Source organism: Homo sapiens, chromosome 2, assembly GCF_000001405.40.
Source record: "Homo sapiens chromosome 2, GRCh38.p14 Primary Assembly".
Classification (NCBI taxonomy): Eukaryota; Metazoa; Chordata; class Mammalia; order Primates; family Hominidae; genus Homo; species Homo sapiens.
The window spans coordinates 179,522,859-179,542,150 of NC_000002.12; the positions used below are offsets into that span (position 1 = coordinate 179,522,859).

The following is a 19,292-nucleotide window of genomic DNA, read 5'->3' on the forward strand; positions in this document are numbered from 1 at the left end:
ATCTAGCTACCAATATTCCTTACCTGGCAAAATTTATTGGTCTCAAATAAGCCTCTTCTTTTCTAAAAAAGTAAAAGTTAGAAGCAGTCATCTGGAATTTTGAGGCTAGGAAGCACAATTACATGAAAATTTAAAGACCCATTTTCCTTGCTTTTCTTTGAGTAAAAAGCCTGAAACACTAACTAAAAGGCAGCAAAAGTTAACACTTGCCACTTTTTCTAATGAAAATCATGCAGAAATGAAAAGCAAGACCTATTAGTGCAATTAACTGGTAGGTAATAAAAGTGAAAGATGAGGTTGCAGCTGTTACCAGGAACTGAGGAGGTAATTGGAGGCCATGTACAGACAAATTAACAATTATACTGTAGTACTTATAAAACAAATTAATGAAGCTGGCCTTATATCATCTATCATATTTTCAATATCAAAATAAGAACAATTTTTTTTTTTTGGTGTCTTCAAGATTACAGAGACTACAAATCTGTGTGCGTTTTTTTTTTTTTTTTTTTAAAGAGCATTACTTTCTCTGGGTAAACCAAAAAGTAATTTACATCTCCACAGTGTAAAAAGTCATATAAAAATATGCAGCTGCAAGTGAAACCTAGACACAGGGAAAATAAACACACTGCAGCACTTCACTAAAGGTAGGATGAATCTAAGATGGGGGCTGTGTGCTCAAGCGACTTGACATAATACTAGATTATATTTAGACTCTAGAAAATTCTGCTACATGGGACTTTAGGCAGAGAAAATAGAATTATAAACTTGTTCAACTATCCCAGTACTTTTCAAGAGGCATGAAATTTGAGTTCTATTCTTATAAGAGTCTTAAAAGGATTTAACTAGCCATCAGGTAACACTGGGATGGGAACTGGGCATCACCCCCATTACGAAACAAAAAGACCACTCGAGAATTGTACAGGACTTTCTTTTATCTGTACTATTTATTTTATTCTCAGAGACTTATTGTGTTGCTCAGTCTGGAGAGCAGTGGCATGACTGAAGCCTTAAACTCATAGGATCAAATGATCCTCTCACTTCAGCCTCCCAAGTAGCTAGGACTACAGGCATGTGCCACTGTGCCCAGCTAAGTTTTTTTTTAAATTTTTATTTATTTATTATAGAGACAGGGTCTCACTATGTTGCCCAGGCTGGTCTTGAACTTCTGGCCTCATGTGATCCTCCTGCCTTAGCCTTTCAAAGTGCTGGGATTACAGACGTGAGCCACCCTGCCCAGCCCATACTATTTGTAAAGATGGGGAAATCTTACCTTAAACTTAACGAACTATTTTAACCAATGTTCTAAAAAGCATTTGGTAGGCATTTATTACTTATCCAGTATAGTAGGCCCTGGTAGCTCTTCTATTAAACAGAAATAGAAATCAGGTTCTTTACTTTTAAAATTTAAAGTCGGCCGGGCACGGTGGCTGACGCCTGCAATCCCAGCACTTTGGGAAGCTGAGGCCGGCGGATCACGAGGTCAGGAGATAGCGACAATCCTGGCTAACAAGGTAAAACCCCGTCTCTACTAAAAATAAAAAAAATTAGCCGGGCGTGGTGGTGGGCGCCTGTAGTCCCAGCTACTCGGGAGGCTGAGGCAGGAGAATGACGTGAACCTGGGAGGCAGAGCTTGCAGTGAGCCGAGATCGTGCCACTGCCGTCCAGCCTGGGTGACAGAGCGAGACTCCGTCTCAAAAAAAAAAAAAAAAAAAAAAAAAAAAAAAAAAAAAAATTTAAAGTCAGCCATCGAGCAAATATTTCTAGAGGTCCAATATGTTTTAGATGCTGTCTCAGACTGGATAGGAAAATGAGTAAAACACAAAAAAGGGCATAATTTAAAAAGTTAAAAAGTGAAAAAGGTAGTACAAACTCTACTCAATTGGAGGCTGGGAAAAGAAGTTGCCATTAAGCAAAACAATGAGGCATGAGAGGCACAAAAAGGTCTGTCTCCTCTTCCCCCACCCATACTTTGGGTTTTTTTTCCCCTCTGACAGTGACATCCATGTGTTATTCTCCCAGGGGTATTTTCTTTTTCTTTTTTCTAGCTGTGTAATAACAATAATAAACATCATTGTAAGAGGAGCTTTGATTTACTGAGGTTTGCTGGGAACTATACTAAGGAATTACCTCCTGTAGTCTCCATCATCACTCGAGGCAGACATGATTATTATCCTCCTTTAACAAACGAGGAATCAAAGGCTTTGAGAGGTTCAATAATGAATCACCCTCAAGTTCATAGGTCGGCATTCAAACACAGGTAGGAATCTCCCCCAACATTGTTCCCTGCTAAAGAAACACTGCCAGAATCATGAGTGTATTGCATCGCACTGCTAAAGGGTATGGGTTTGGAGAAGAATGGATAAGACTTCCTGGAACTTCTGCAGTCTGGAAGGTTGCTGCCTACACAAACCTAAGGTGCTTAAGGAAAAGTTTTCTGGAAAAGCGAGTCTAGGTTTTGTCTTTCTGACCTATTTCTCATATTCTTAGGATAAGCCCATTACTTCCTGTGCAACTTCAGGAAAGCCATAAATAAAAATTTGGGCTGTCCTGTCCTCTTTCCTCATTATAACTGTTGGGTTTGCACACAGAAAAAAAAAGTCCTGGGAATATTTAGAAATTACGTGTTTGCAAGTGGCAGTCATCATTTGCACCTGTCCTTGATTTGCTGCTAAGCAGACCGCAGCTACAAACCCTTGTGACTTTGGGCCTTCTGGAAGTTTGGCTAAGTATCAACTTTTAAACTGTGATATTGTGGTATTACAGTCTCCATCATCACATGAGGCAGACATGATTATTATCAGTATCGTTATTATTATTACAGTAGTACAAAGAGAATAACTATTTTTTATCCCTTCCTTCTTGAATATCAGCCTTATGGGAAAGGATGTGACCATAGGGTCTCAACAGAACTTCAAATATTCATGAAAGAACATGTTTAAGTGATAGCTGTGTCGCTAAAGAGCAATATTTCTCTAAAGTTACTTTAAAATGGGTTTTGTCTTTCATATTTAAAGACTCTGACCATATGCTTTTATGTTGATGTTTTACTTTTTAAAAATCCTTGAAAACTTCAATAGAAAGAAAACAGATACAGCAACAACAAAGATAATTTTTTTCTCTTAAAGATCAAGAAATACAAATGATTGCATATTGTTGGCAACACTAGTTTAACCACAGATTTTTTTTTTTTTTTTTTTTTACACAGTGTCTCTTCTGTCACCCAGGCTGGAGTGCAGTGGCTCAGTCTGGGTCACTGCAACCTCTGCCTCTTGGGCTCAAGTGATTCTCCCAACTCAGCCTTCTGGGTAGCTGGGATTCCAGGTATGTGCCACCATACCCAGCTAATTTTTTGTAGAGACAGGGTTTCACCATGTTGCCCAGGCTGGAACTATAGAACTTTGTACTATTTTGGATTTCAATTCAGAAGGCTCATTAAAAATACACCATATGGCCAGGCGCGGTGGCTCACGCCTATAATCCCAGCACTTTGGGATGTTGAGGCAGGCGGATCACCTCAGGTCAGGAGTTCAAGACCAGCCTGACCAACATGGAGAAACCCTGTCTCTACTAAAAAAAAAAATACAGAATTAGCCAGGCATGGTGGCACATGCCTGCAATCCCAGCTACTCGGGAGGCTGAGGCAGGAGAATCGCTTGAACCCAGGAGGCAGAGGTTGCAGTGAGCCAAGATTGCACCATTGCACTCCAACCTGGGCAACAAGAGCGAAACTCTGTCTCAAGAAAAAAAGAGAAATAAAGAAAAAAAAATACAGTAAATAGAACATTACACAGGGAGTGCATGCACCATGGGATCTGCATGTTTGCATCTGGAGCGTGTAAAAGCTGAGGCTTGCCTTGCTGACACTGCTTCTCCTACCCAGAGCACCCTGACAAGGGTCCACCTGAATGCTATCAGTTCTGCTGAAAGGAAGATGAATGGCATGTCACTCTCTCCACAAACCGTTTATTAAACCAAGGGTCAAATGTTTGGGGAGATGGTTTCTTCAAGAATCCCCAGCTCTTTGCTGAAACCACATATTGGTTGTGGCTTGCAACATTAACTGGTCCCCTCTTTCACTGGGATACAACTACCCAGGCAGAAAGTTAACCAGTCACTCAGAACTGTTATAAAGGCAATAACAACACAACACATACTTCAGAAACTAACAGACAGGTTACATTACATCTAAGTCCTGGATCCAGTGAAGCTTCATTACTATTGCTACTACTACTATTTTATCAAAATGTTGCAGGCTTTTAAGTATTTTGAGGCTGGTTGACTACAGGCAACATCTAATAGCTGCTGAAATTAAGCAGGACCCCAGGATTTCAGTTTTTCCCAATTTTCTAGGGCTTCCTTAATGGCAGTATATATTCCCGATAGAAAACACAAGGGAGTCAGCCCAGAGATGAGGCAGCCTATCAGAGTAGAGTACAGAATAGCATTTCATTTTTTTCCTCTGTTTTCTAAACTATGAATTTAGAAAGCTTGATATATTTCACTCTAATTCCATATTGTTAGGTCTCCTTTGAAAAGCTCTGGGATTCACCAAACAATATTTGTATATTCCATTGACAGAAAGGATGACTAAAGTCAAGAAAAAAAAAATCCTGTGATGTATCTTGAAGATCTGTTTTGAAAAGAAGACTGAACTCTGTATTTTCTGGTCATTTTTTTTTTTGGAGAAATTTCATCTTCATTTTATTTTGGGGTTTCTGTCATAAAATAATGTCCTTTTTCTAGATGACTCTGGTTGTAAGAAGTGCAACTCTTTCAGAGGTAAGGGTTTCATATCAACTTTAAATATTCAGTTCTCTCCTTAGGAATTTTTGCTCCTTTTCAACATATTACACATTTATAAATGTATGACTTCCAATTTGTTTATATATTTACTATATTTTTCTTGAAATTTTATTCACATAATAAAAGTTTATTAAGTACCTATCATACATTGTTTTAGGAGCTTGACATACAGTGGAGAATAGGCTTTCAAATATCCAACATTCTAGTTGGGAAGACCCAGACCCAAATCTCTAACATAATAAATAAGGTATTTTCAGAGGGTTGTAAGTAGCATTGAAAAATAAAATAAAATAGAAGAATGGGAAAGAAACAATATTTTACCAGGAAAATTTTTAAAAACACATTTTTGTTGCCTTGATACCCACTGTAATTCAGATACTTTTACATGTAAAGTCATACCAAATATGCAAAAAAACAAAACAAAACAAAAAAACACTCTTCCATGATTTAGAGAAGTTGATACAGAATCCAGACTCATACAAGTGGTAAAACCTGTAGACTAAGAGACACGCTCCTCAGCTTCCAACACAGTCTGTCAGTCTGTGAGATGTCTGCAGAGGATTTTTTCAACTACCAAGTAGCAAGACAACTGATCTCAGAGCTACCACCATCATCATAATCCCAAGAAGAAAGGTAAACTAAAGTAATCTGCATTTTGAAAGTTCTCTAAGGATGAGTACTAAGTACTAGACACCTTTCATCTGGAGACCTTTCTAACAGGTTTCTGCACAGCGTGGTTGGCCTGGAACTTGGTGAGTGAATAGCAAAATGATCATGAGTTACTTCTTTTGTCTTTAAAATAAATACATATGTTGTCTAAGAGCTAACAGTTTTGTGTGAGGATATTACAACAAAATAATGTTTTTCATCTTTTATACTTTTAGAACCATAAGGAGTTACCAAATGGTAAAAGTAAAAAAGCTAAAAGCAAATGAACTGGTGATTTCACCATCTCCTTCTCTTTAGTGGAAACCTAGTAATGCTTTCGACAGATAACTTTTAAACTGTTCTGAGTAGAAAAAAAAATTCTTAAGTTCTTCTTCAGACAATAGTTACTTTGTTAATAGGAGATGCCATAAGGTTAGGCCTGGGTACCTGACTGGAGCTGAATGTCTAACTCTCACAGTAGATCCTTGTGTGTAACAAATATGGTCAGTCCAAATGTTAAAATGTTCCATTTTCCTGGCTAGCTCTACATGCCTGGTGACTTTCCATGCTGCGGGGATCAAGAGTGATGCAGCAAAGCTGTAGTTATGCTGCTGGGTAATTTAAGAAGCCACTTCAAAGAGCTTTTCAAAAAGTTCAGTTTAACAAATAAGACTTTCAGTTTATTTCTGAAATGGGTATGGGACTTAATTAAATGTTTACTTATACCTCATAGTCACTAACACACAACACCCAGCAATGTTTTTGGCGTTGATGTTCCTATTTGAGTTTTAAATGAGTAAACTAAATAACTGAAATTCTATCGCATAGGTGTTCATATTCAGGTTTTAAATGCACACTGAAAGGTCTGGTTGGTTAATGTGATTTATTAAAGAAGCCCAGACCACCCTCAACCCCAAATGCAACTGCTGTTTTCAATGTAGGGAAAAAGAATTAAGGTAATGAGCCGAATTATGTCTTCTAAGAAAACTCTGTGCTTTTCTTTGTTTGTTTCCATTCTTGAATAAGCAAATGCTTAGATATGACTGGAAATCTTTAGGGGAGACAGGTATTTTTCCATCAGGATGCTAAGAAAGTTCTTGATAGGGTTTTCATTTTATCTTCAAGATTTGATGTTCCTAATTTTTGGTCAAAGTATACATAAGATTTTAAAGATCTGTAACATCTTTCAAAGATCATGCATAACAAAAAGTTCATATGATATTAGTAGATGCCCTTTTGAAAAAAATATGAGAAAATTATAGGTGTTTCAAGCAAAATGAAAAACTACCTGGAAATCTTTCAGGGAATTAATAAGAATTTACCTCTGTTGTGAATTTTAGTAGCCTAGAAGAAGAACTAAAATGATGATAAGTGCTATCAATATGTTTTGTATGTGGAGAAGTTACTGTCCTCAAAGTACTTATACTTTATACTTCTCAGTGAGATATATTCATATTTAAACAGCAACAACGAATAGCTCAAGACTTATATAATTGACAATAAACTCTATCACCCAAAGATAAATATGAACAAAACTGGTTATAGTATACTATTCTGAGTGATAGGAACAGAAACTAGATTCACCAAGATAATCTAAATAAAATGGGTTGGGTGTTTCCTTATTTAGTATTGTATCTCCTTCGGGTGAAATGAAATGAGAAATATTTCAGGAATACAGACTAAAAAATAATTTTTCAGTAGATGTGTAAAATGTGAAATAGAGATTCACTGGAGTGTAGGTCATGAGAAATGGTTATTCCATAGCACATGTGAAGAGAGATCCATCCCAAAGTTTGAAAGGACAGGCCAAATATCTGAGCTAAAAGACAGTAAACAGTTTTTGGCCTTTTGTTTTCTTTTTAAATAGTGACTTGAAAACAATCCCCAAAATTGTCCTCAAATTAAATTTCCATAACATAAAATTCAGTGCCAAAAATAAATCTGAGAAATATCTTTTTATAAAATAGGATTCTTTATTTTTTAGGAGAGGAAAAAAAGTATACGAGTAACTGAAGAATACTTGCTGATACTTATAGATGTAGTTTAAAAAAACACTGGTGCTAAATCTCCAAATCCAAATAGGATACAATTGCTTGTTTTTTGGTAAACGAGCTCAAAAATATGTTACAAGGGCTTTCTAAGAGACTAGAGGAATAATAAACTTTCTCGATCTAAAAATCAATACATCTCCTGAACAGCCACATGCATTAACTGACATCCTTTCAAAACCATTCTGTCAAAGCTAAGTTTGAAAGGCTGTTCAGTAACTAATCAGATATATCCTGATGCTGAGGTCCATGACAAAAATTAAAAATGTGTAACATGAAAAGAAAACTCCTCCAGGCAGGAAGAAGTGCAAAAGAGAAACCTGGACCTTTGAATATATTTCTGTTCGAATATATTTCTTCATTTTGCAAAGCTAAGTGGAAATGAAGCATTTTTCCCCATAATGGGGGCCAACACATTTCTTACCCTTTCACTAAGAAGAAATATGACAATTGAGCACTAGTAAAGCTCTAGACAAATTAACAAATGTGCAGTGTTCTAATCTTAAACATTTTGGGCCCTTAATTCCACATGCCACATAACCGTTACACAGTGGTAAAATGTCAGGGATCATCTACATTTTCAAACTTCAAAAAAAAATTGTTTTCGTTTAAGCCCCAGAACCTCCCCACCCACCCAAACAAAATCCTAACTGGAAACTCAATAGAATAAAACTCAGTTTTTAGAAACTGAGTTCTGGTGAAAGCAGACAGATCAGGCCCCAGATCTACCAGCCTGATTTTAGTCTTTCTCGCTTGAAAATGAAGAAAGATTTGGAGAATTTTAGTGACTTGTTTGAGCCTCCTCAGGTAACACCTGAACCCAGATCTCCTTCTATGTTTGCCAGATTTAGCAAGTAATAATATAAGATGTCCAGTTAAAGTGGAATTTTAGGGGTAAACAGCAAATAATTTAAAAAAGTATGTGCCAAACATTGCATGGCACATACTGACATTAAAAATGATTTGTTTGCTGTTTATCTAAAACTCCTCTTTAGTCTGGGTGCAGTAGGGCTCATGCCTGTAATCCCAGCACTTTGGGAGACCGAGGTGGGAGGATCACCTGAGGTCAGGAGTTTGAGATCAGCCTGGCCAACATGGCAAAACCCCATCTCTAGTAAAAATACAAAAATCAGCTGGGTGTGGTGGTGGGCACCTGTAATCCCAGCTACTGGGGAGGCTGAGGCAGGAGAATCGCTTGAACCTGGGAGGTTCAAGTGCAGTGAGCCGAGATCATGCCACTGCACTCCAGCCTGGGTGACATAGTGAGACTCCATCTCAAAAATAAATAAATAAATAGAAATATATAAATAAATATCCTTTTTAACTGGGTATCCTATAGTTAGAGCTGTTTCCCCTTCCCTGATTCCCACCCAAGGATGTCACAGTGATATCAATGTTGATTCTACTGCTTCTCCTCCTCACAGGCTCACTTTGTCACACTTAACATTTTAGGGCTTTAGCTAGGAAAGTGGTCCTTGAGTGGTTCTGTGGAAAGTTGATAGCAAAAATATTTTATGTCTTCTGTTCATCTGCTATTGCCCTTTTGTATAAATAGGTATGTGTACACATAATAGCTCTTCTTAGTGGAAAACATTTTTGGTTTAAATTTGTCTCTGCATTTATAGTGTACAAAATATACAATAGTTGTAAAGTAAAATAAAGACCTTTAATAGAGTGCTTCACTCTGCTCTGCAGTGATAATCGCTTTATCGAATAAGGCTCTGTTAATGGTTCAGCTTGACATTCAACATTTGTCCATTTGATTTATAATTATTCTCACGTGACTGCAAGGAGGCTATGGTTCAAACCAAAAGTAGTTTAAATTGAACTGTCTTTTCTTCTGAATTTGTAAGGAAATGTAGTTACTTCCAGGCAAAACTATTTCATTTACCAAATTTATTTCAAATATACGCAAAGCCCTCTCTGCCTCTATATGTTCTGAATAGACTAACACATATGTAAGAGGAAAATAAATAGAGCAAATGAAATCACCAAGTTAAAAACACATCCAGTTTGCTTATATGTTGGCCATGGATACGGCACCAAGAATTCCTAATCAAACAATGAAGAGAAACCTACATGAACCACGTAGCAAGTTGTCATGAAACATGTCAAGTGTCTCCGTAACATTCACAAAAAGGCTGTTAAGAGGCAAAAATCATTTGTATTTACAATCTATTCACTCCTTATAAAGATTTTCAGAAATGTTTCTGAATTATTCTGCTTTCTTTCCTGAAATTCAGTCTAGCAGGATGCTTGGCCCTTCAGTCTTCATGAAACTCATCTGAAATTTTTATTCACCTTTCTGCCTCCCCACAACCTGTAATACTAATTATAATCAGACAAATACCTACACCTGACAACACAAGACGCTGATATGCCACTTTATTAAAAAGATTTTGTATAATTAGTCAAGAATCACCAAATTTCTGCCTCACAATAGAACAATATCACAATGTCAGTTGTTGGCAGTTATCAAACCACTACAGTTCCATTGGCCCTCCCAAAGCTGAGGTTAAAAGCTGGCCTCTGGAAATCAATCATGCTCTCGGCAGAGGATATTTCAGTGATATGAGAGCTGAAATGGAGACTGTAATCTTTTGTGATTACCCTAGAGGCTGAAGCAAATGTAAAAGGGAGTCTATGAATTGCTGATAATTTCCTGTGATGACCGACTCCAGGAAATTCTGACATTACCCTTGCACTGTAACAAAATGAAGGTTCCCCAGATGCATAGCTTCAAAGAACTCTACATCTGGGTGTCACAATGCTTCTTTAGAAGCTACTCATCCATTAAAGGGGCCAGGCCTGTGAGGCAGCAGCACTCTCTGAAAACAATGGAAGGTCTGATTGCACAAGAAGTAATGAGCTCTATGCTACAGGCTGTCTTTCTACCTAGTTCTTTTCTGAGGGAACTGATGTAAGATGTATCAGTTTTACTCCCCCCACCACCTCAGAAGTCTAAAGACTGGTAGATTTATCTGCTGTTCTAACAGCTGTAGAGCTATGAATATCTTAGTCTGTGTAATTTAAAATTTTTTATTTAGGCTGATATTTGCATTCTGAGAAAAAATATTTTTTATGCATATGTACATACCCTTGAGGTCTATATAATACTTTGGGATAGAATCTAAGACTACTAATCTTTTTTGAGTAGGCAGCGAACTTACAATTAGACGCCATGCTCGGAGCACAGGTTAAGGGGGTCCTTTTCATGTGATTGGCAATTTAAATTCAGGAAAACAGGTGTGTGGGAGGGGGAGGAGTGGGTAGGGTAAAGGGAGATGTGTAAGAGTCAAAGTTCAAGGGATTTTTGGAATAAATTTCTATTATCAATACATGAAGGATAATTTGATATATTGATTATTATGACTTAGTTTAAAATGTGTTTTAAATTGCCATTTTAACCTAGTTGCAATTTGATTAATGAATAACATGGGAATAAGGGGTCTATATTTGGAAGTCAACAGTATTTTAAAAATATAGCAAGAAACATTATGTCTTACTACTCTATGACAATGTATCATAGGGACACAGCTCTCAGGTTCAAAATGGCATGTAGCCTTTGAAACCTAAATATCACTGGAGGTAAATAGGGTAAAATAGAATCCATTCAAACTGGTTGTGCTTATTCCCAACCTCCACTTAATATATTCTCTTCCAATCCCTGCTCCAAATTCAGCGGCAGCACCTCTGTACTGTTTCCAGGCAGTCAAGTGACTGTGATCTTTAAGTATGCTCTAGCATTATCTCATTCAGCTAACATAAAATGAGCACCTGCTAAGTACCAGGAATAACTATTTTAAACTGGAGTGTTATGTTCTTAAACTCAAGGTCTTAGCCATATATATATCTTTAGCATCTACCTTAATTAGGATTGCTGTAATGTACACAGCCAGCCCAAGTGATAAATATAAAACTTGGTTTATTTGAGGTAATTAGGAAAAAGAGATAAAAGGGATAGAAATATTAATTAAACTATCAATATTGTAAGAATAGAGCTTTGCTGTTTTAAGTATCCTTTCGTAAACATAATCTCATTTGATATTTATAGGTATTTTAAGTTATTAGAAATAGCATGGGGATATGTTATATACTTATAATTTTTTCACAGCCTCTCATTAAATTCCAAAAATTTTCTAAATATTCAGTCATATACCCTCAATTCCTCATAAATATAATAAACTCAAATCTTCATGATGTAAAAATAGGAAGGTATTACATCATGAAAATGAGGAAAACTGGCACAAAGTGACTTTCTTGAGATCAAAGACTATGAGTCTAGACATCAGTCTTCTAACTCCTAGTCCGGTGCTTTTTTTCCCTATACAATGAAGTGAATCACCTACCTTGTTCTCCCCTTTATTCTGGTTTCTGCTTCCCCGGACAGCATGAACAGAGGCAAGCCCAGGTAGGACGGTCAGAAGTTTACTTTAGAACAAAGTAAGTAGAGTTACTTTTCTGAGGTCCCAAAGAACTCTCCAAATGGCTTTTTGGAGAAGGTAGGATATAGTTGATGAATGAGTGACTGACTAAATAAATAAATGCTACTAGTTCCTTCAAAAGGTAAGTGCTTCAAAAATGTGCCATGTGATAGCAGTCATTCATAATCATTTTAGCATCTAACAGCTTCAGCTCATTTTGGGAAATGTAGATATTTATGGATTTGATCATACTATAATGGCAATGGACCATCTTATATAGAGAAGTTTGGGTCTACCTGGGAAAAACACAGAAATTAAGTAGGCCCCAGACATGTGTTTTGAGAATTTCATTCTATGCACCTCTACTTATTTGTAAATCATAAGCCTGTGAAAAATATCGGGTATATTTTCTATAATACCACTCAGATCTTTAGTTGGCTCAAGAAACTGTATTCACAATAAGAGAAAACAAGTACAGGCTGACAAGATGAATCTATCTCCTGAATCAAATACACTGCAAAGGAGAATTTTCAACTTGACTTTAGAAGCCATGGGAATTATTGGGTACTTAAAAAAATATTTCGCACATGAATAACCTGAGAGAAGTACACATATTTAAGTTCAAGATATAGTATGGTGGAGACCAGCTTTTGCTTTTCTGATATTTAGATTTTTTGTTTTTCCTTTTCAGTGGTAGGGCTCTCTACTAGAATAAATGAGAAGACTCAATTCTATTCTTCAATCTTCTGATTTGCAAAAAGGGCACAACAATGACACATGTAATCTATTTCATATGTGGGTACATTAAAAGAATCAATGTAAAACGTCTTTGAAATATGCTAAATCCCTCTGATACTAGAATTTCATGAAAATGGTATCATTTATATGATTTGTGTCTTTCAAAAATTTCAAGTATCAGAACATAAAAAGGAAGGTAAACCTAAATTGAAAGCAAATCTGTAAAAAGTGTTTTTTCAAGATTCCTACTGAGCTCTACAAAGATGTTGAAACTTCACAGATTGCTAAACAGCACTCCAATTCATCTTTAGCACCCTCAAAAGCAACTATAAAAGTAAAGGAACCAGAATATTCCAAAGCATGTCTCTCCAACCCCCAAGGGATGTGAGACTTAATTCTAAACACAAAAATCTAGAAGGTGGAAGTAAAAACAGATCTGCGTTGTTGGATGGGTTCGCAAGCTTTTGATAAAAGTTTTTCAGAGGCCACTATCACTGATTAAAGTTTATAGAGCAACTAATTTAGAAATACATTTTCTGAGCTGGTGGGAATGTTTTATACAATAACATTTTGCTACTTTTTTGTATTTATTAGGCTTGGCTACCATACCACAGAGACATAAAGTTTTGGTCACTGAGAGAAGCTAAGAATTTTTCTCTTAAAATTTTCCTGTTTCCTCTTCTTCTTCTAATTCTTTTTTTTAATTATCTGTAGATTTGTTAAGAATATTAGTGTAGAATAAGATACAAATTTTTAAGAAGAGGGCCCAACATAGACACTTTTTCCAAGTTGACTCTACTCTTGAAAAATGCTGACCTGGGACAGCGCCAAGACTAAAGACTTGTCTTGCCAGAAAATCTGATGTCCCCTCCAAGTACACATAATCCTTGAAACTCTAGCACTGAAGATGAGGCCCCAGAACCATGTGACATTGGGACTAGGATAAAGAAAGGGACATACAAGAGGACACAGCATGGTGGGTCTACAGATGCCTCTTTTCACAGGCTCCTGAAATTTTACATTCTTTTACCTCATAAAGGACCATCAAAGTCTCAATCTGATATTTTTAGGCAGCTTTTATGAAATGAATTGACTGTTCACTATGACCACAATCCTCTATTATGTTATGGTGAATTATACAAGAGGAAGCAATTTCTATTAGACAGAGAGCAACTTCTGTCTAATTCATCACAATAACCTTTCTCCTTAGCACAATGCCAGGGACATGTAGACATGCAGTAAATGGTTGTGAATGAGTGACTTTTACTAGATGCCCTGAAAAAGCAATTTATTAAAGAGAAAAAAATGTGACTATGCATTATACAAACATACAATAAATACATACCATATAAATAACATCTGCATACTCTAAAGGTGTTTCAAGAGTAAGTAGAGAAGAGGGAGATTTGAAAACAAAGCCCTTAGTAAGATAAATCTTGAGGCTTTTGAGTAAGGCAAGGGACATGAGTTAAAGTTTAAAAGGACATGTAGTTTGAAAGGGTGAGGGACGGCCGGGATAGGTGGCTCATGCCTGCAATCCTAGCACTTTGGGAGGCTGAGGCGGGAGGATCACCTGAGGTCGAGAGTTCGAGACAAGCCTGATGAACATGGAGAAACCCTGTCTCTACTAAAAATACAAAATTAACCGGGCACATGCCTGTAATTCCAGCTACTAGGGAGGCTGAGGCAAGAGAATCGCTTGAACCTGGGAGGTGGAGGTTGCCGTGAGCCAAGATTGTGCCATTGTACTCTAGCCTGGGCAACATGAGCAAAACCTCTGTCTCAAAAAAAAAAAAATAAATAAAAAAAAAATAAAAAAGAAAAGAAAAGGAAAAAGAAAGGGTGAGGGACACAATAGTGCAGATGGTCACTATGTGTTTTTTCCCCATCCATGGTATATTTACATACTTTTTCTCTCTGTCAAATTTAATAGAAATGGGCCGGGCATGGTGGCTCACACCTGTAATCCCAGCACTTTGGGAGGCTGAGACAGGCGGATTGCCTGAGCTCAGGAGTTCGAGACCAGTCTGGGCAACATGGTGAAACTCTGTCTCTACCAAAAAATACAAAAATTAGCCAGGTGTGGTGGCGTGCATCTGTAGTTCCAGCTACCTGGGAGGCTGACGCAGAAGAATAGCTTGAATCTGGCAGGTGGAGGCTGCAGTGAGCTGAGATTGTACCACTGCATGCTAGCCTAGGTGACAGAGCAAGACTCTGTCTCAAAAACAAACAAACAAACAAACAAACAAAAAAAAAAATTAATAGAAATGTAAAATTTTCTAGGCATAGAAATCAATGCTTAAATATTTGTACAAAATCTTTGTTAGTTTTGTACCACATTTCAAAGATTCCCTATAACTATTTTTTTTTCTAATGATCTGGGGAATGTTGCTGTTGAGTTATCTAAGCCTAACAATAGGCCATCAACCTCTCCCCTCTTCAAGTGATTTTGAGTAACCATGGAAAATTTCATCTTGGCATATTTTAGTTCTATGCACTCCTTTAGAAAACATAGAACAAGATAATCCTTCAATATATTTAAAAGCATGTCACAAAAAATAAAAACTCAACCATATTTTCTTTTTTATTTGACTGGGATAAATGTGTCAGTTCAAGCAGAGTCAGTTGGACATACTAGTATCCTAAGAAATATGGAATACATAATTTTTAATGACAGCAAGCACTATTAGAGTGACGAAGACTCAAAGGGCAAAAATTAACATTTGGGTTGCAAAAGTATTCTACTTAAATTTAAAAATATACAAATAAGAGAAAAATACATATTCATATGTTTAAATAAAGACTTCATTAAATAGATAAAGATATTAAAGGCAGGGTAAAAAGTTAAATGTCCTAGCTTTAGGTTTCCTTACAACAACACTTCATGGGAAGCATAGCACGAATTAAAAGCAAAGCAAATGTGAATTTGATTCCCAATTTCTTTATTTAGAAACTCTCTGATGAATATATTATTATTTATACTACAAGAAAAAAATTTTTAAAAAATATTCATCAATATTGCCAAACCACAAATGAGTCAGAATCTCAGAGGTTCTAGAATGATAAAATAAATGGTAATCATATAAATCATTTCATAACTTGTCATGGATGATTCACAGAATCATACAGTGGTTTGGAACTTTATACTTTGAAATCATCTTTATCCTGTCCCACATATTTGCTCATGTCTCAGGAAAAAAATAATTTCAAGGTAGGCAGTAAAAATCAGATTATTTTTCACAAAATTAAGATTGTTGAGCCTCCTGCAATAAAGTAGTAGTGACTGCCCTTGTACTTGTGCTTTCCTAGAGCAGTTGTAAAAACATGGCAGGACTCACAAAAACATTTCAAATAAATAGGCACATAAAACACCTGCCAATTGGCAGAGAAATTGACAGGTGGCTGTGGTCCCAAGTCAGCTCTTGATTATAGCTATAGCTCTGAACAGTTACACAAATACATATGCATGTACACAATGTGCAGGTGCTAAAAATAAACTTCACTTACTTACTGTCACATCATGTAAGTTGGGTATGTGTTTCAGTCTGCTCAGGCTGTCATTACCAAATACCATATACTGGGTAGCTTAAAAAACAGAAATTTATTCTCTCATAGTTCTGGATGCTGGAGGTCCAAGATCAAGGTGCCAGTATGGTGGGGTTCCGAGTGAGGGCTGTCTTCCTGGGCTTGCAGCTGGCTGCCTTCTTACTGTGTGTTCCCATGGCAAAGAGGAGGGAAAGCTCTCTATGCTCTTCTTATAGGGCACTAATCCCATCATGAGGGCCCCACCCTCATGACCTCAACTAACACTAATTACCTCCAAAGGCTCTATCTCCAGATACCATCACTATCAAATTGGGGGTTATGACTTCAACATATGAATTTTGAGGGGACATAAACATTCAGTTCATAGCAATCTACATATGTAAATATGTCTTATAAATGTACTTACTTTATCATATTAAATTAATATTATCCATCTTGGTAAGTATTCAATTTATTTCAATTCAGAAGAAGTCTCTTCTTAAGGGGAACTAAACACCAAGTATTATCCCAGTTGTTTGTGAACAAAGATGAAAATTTAATCCACAATAAAGGAAATAGGAGATCCTAATTCTAATGTAAGAAACAATTGTGTGTATTTTGGCAGCTCCCACAACATTATATACAGTCATTAAAGAATGACCATGGATAAATTGGCAAATCTAAAGAAAAATTAATAACAAAAAATGAAAACATCTCTACTAAGATAGAAAAAAAGATTTTTTCTGTTGTTTCTTGAACACTATAAACTTTGGTAGCGATTTTCAGTTTGCTGATGTTTCTTGGTTTTTATCTTGCTTTATCAAGTCTGTTTACTTCATTTTTTCCTTATAAGTTTATTGGGCACAAGGGGGTTTTTGTTTTATTTAATTTGCTTATCTTCTCCCCAAACCCAACACTCTTTATTACATATATTTTCAATAAAACTCAGTAACTAACAATTTTGTTTTTAACTAAATACTCTTAAAGCTGGGGTCTGGGACAAAGAATGTAGTAAATACTTGCCAATATTCATACACCAGCCAAACAGAGAGAGCTGGGCACTATAGCTGGAAGACAGTTTATAACTATTGCCTTTAGATTAAAAAACAGTGACAGTTTGGCCAGGCGCAGTGGCTCACTCTTGTAATCCCAGCACTTTGGGAGGCTAAGGTGGGAAGGATCACCTGAGGTTGGGAGTTGGAGACCAGCCTGACCAACATGGAGAAACCCCATCTCTACTAAAAATACAAGATTAGCCAGGTGTGGTGGCGCATGACTGTAATCCCAGCTACTCGGGAGGCTGAGGCAAGAGAATCGCTTGAACCCGGGAGGCAGAGGTTGCGGTGAGCCGAGATCCTGCCATTGCACTGCAGCCTGGGCAACAAGAGTGAAACTCTGTCTCAAACAAACAAAAACAAAACAAAACACCAACCAAACAACAACAACAACAACAAAAAAAACCACAGTTTTCAGGAAAATATAAATTAAGTTAAACACTTGGGCTTATCGCCTGGTCTTAGAAGGGACTCATAAATGTTATTATTCCCTTTAATAGATGGGGGAGTATGAACATTGAAAACCAAGGAACTGGGACCCTTTCCTCTCTTCCAAAAAATGTTGTTGAGCACCTGTGTCAGACACCCATCATACTAAAATGAATAAGATAGAGCCCCTGTCCTCAAGGATCTGATGTTCTAGTGAAGAAGACAGATTAACAGGTAATTAAACTATGGTGTGACAACTGCTATAATTAATGTAATCTGGGGCTACTTTGGAAACACAAAGGGTGGGACTTAATTCAGACTTGAAGAGTCACAGAAGACTTTCTGGGAAGGAGGTGATATCTAAGTTGAACTTTGAATGACACATAGTTGAAGGTGGGGTAGCAATGGTGAAAATGAGCATTAGTGGGTAGCCAGGCACAGGCTTTGGAATATTAAGATCAAGATCTTTAAAACTTTATGTTTTGGTCCACACAGGCTTTTACCTATAAATGACTCAAAACTGTGTCTCTGTAAAGTACACTGCTGAAGCACAGAGTTAACATCATCATCCTCCAAGCATGTGTCCTTGACATGTACTCCATCATAAATCATCAACGATTCAAACTCCGTCTTCCTTATCATGTCTCTTTAAACTCTGCTTATACAAAGACTAAAATTTTTTGCTTATTTTTACATACATATGCATTGAGAGAGATTCTGTCAGTTGTGGTGCATAAGGCAAGGCAACCACTAAAAGAACACCATGAAGCATATTTCTTCATCAGGTACAACTTAGCATAGAACAGGCATCTGTTCTATTTTGGAATACAATAAGATCTCATTTCATTCTTGCTATGTTTATCATATAATGTTATCATACTTCACTATAAGAAAGAGGAAAACATTATGTTTTTAAAAATCTACTTAAAGAGAATAACAAAACATCAAACCTCCAAAACTTTCAACTATGGTCTCAGAGCATAGTGTTTTCATTCTTCTGATAATAATTATAAGATTAAAACTGACCTCATTTCTTATATTTGCTAATATTAACCTTGGTTAAAAATAAAACGATAAGGTAGATTTCACCTAGTTTTCAAAGAACAAGTGGACAATTGAGTACAATATACTTTAAAAATTTGCCAACAAGAAATTATAGCTGTTTTTCAAATATATTCTGCTTCGTGTTGTTTGTAGAGGTCTATTATACACATTCAAAAAAACCATTTCCTCCTTCTAGTTAATGATTCTGCTGAAAATTGCCTTCCACACTTCCAGAAAAGAGCACAAAGATTTCTGATTGAGCTTTGTTCACAATGAATGAGGTGGAAGGTGATATGGGCCAAAAGACTCAAGGACGTAAAGAGCCCGAATATGAATTTTGAAGTTAAAAAGATTCTAATTCAAGTCTCAGTTCTTCCTTCAATAACTCTCTTTCTTCCTCTAGACAATAAGAGTAATAATGACTGCCTGCCAAAGTGTTTCAAGGTCTAAGTACTTTGAGAGATGTAAAACATCACAAATATACAATAATCCAGTATACTTATTAGTGGTGATGTAATAGCGTTTTCCTAGGAAAATGTGGACAATAACTTTCATGACATTCCCTTAGGTATTCTATT

At 36.6% G+C, this 19,292-nt stretch overlaps 1 protein-coding gene across 21 annotated transcripts in view; it reads right to left on the minus strand.

The window, feature by feature from the left end:
* The window catches only part of ZNF385B (zinc finger protein 385B), a 419,631-nt gene that overhangs the window by 80,877 nt on the left and 319,462 nt on the right, over window positions 1-19,292 (minus strand). For 3 of the 21 annotated variants that reach the window (NR_148058.2, NM_001352811.2, NM_001352812.2), the window contains one exon: window positions 24-62. The exons of 17 other annotated variants lie outside the window; for them this stretch is intronic. Coding sequence is in view for 2 of the 4 variants with exons in the window: in NM_001352811.2 (NP_001339740.1) it covers window positions 24-62 (39 nt within the window). In the remaining 2 variants the exon portion in view is untranslated. Of the gene's footprint in view, window positions 1-23; window positions 63-11,848; window positions 11,931-19,292 lie in introns of all 21 variants that reach the window. One more of the 21 variants, NR_104234.2, reaches the window with a different exon arrangement.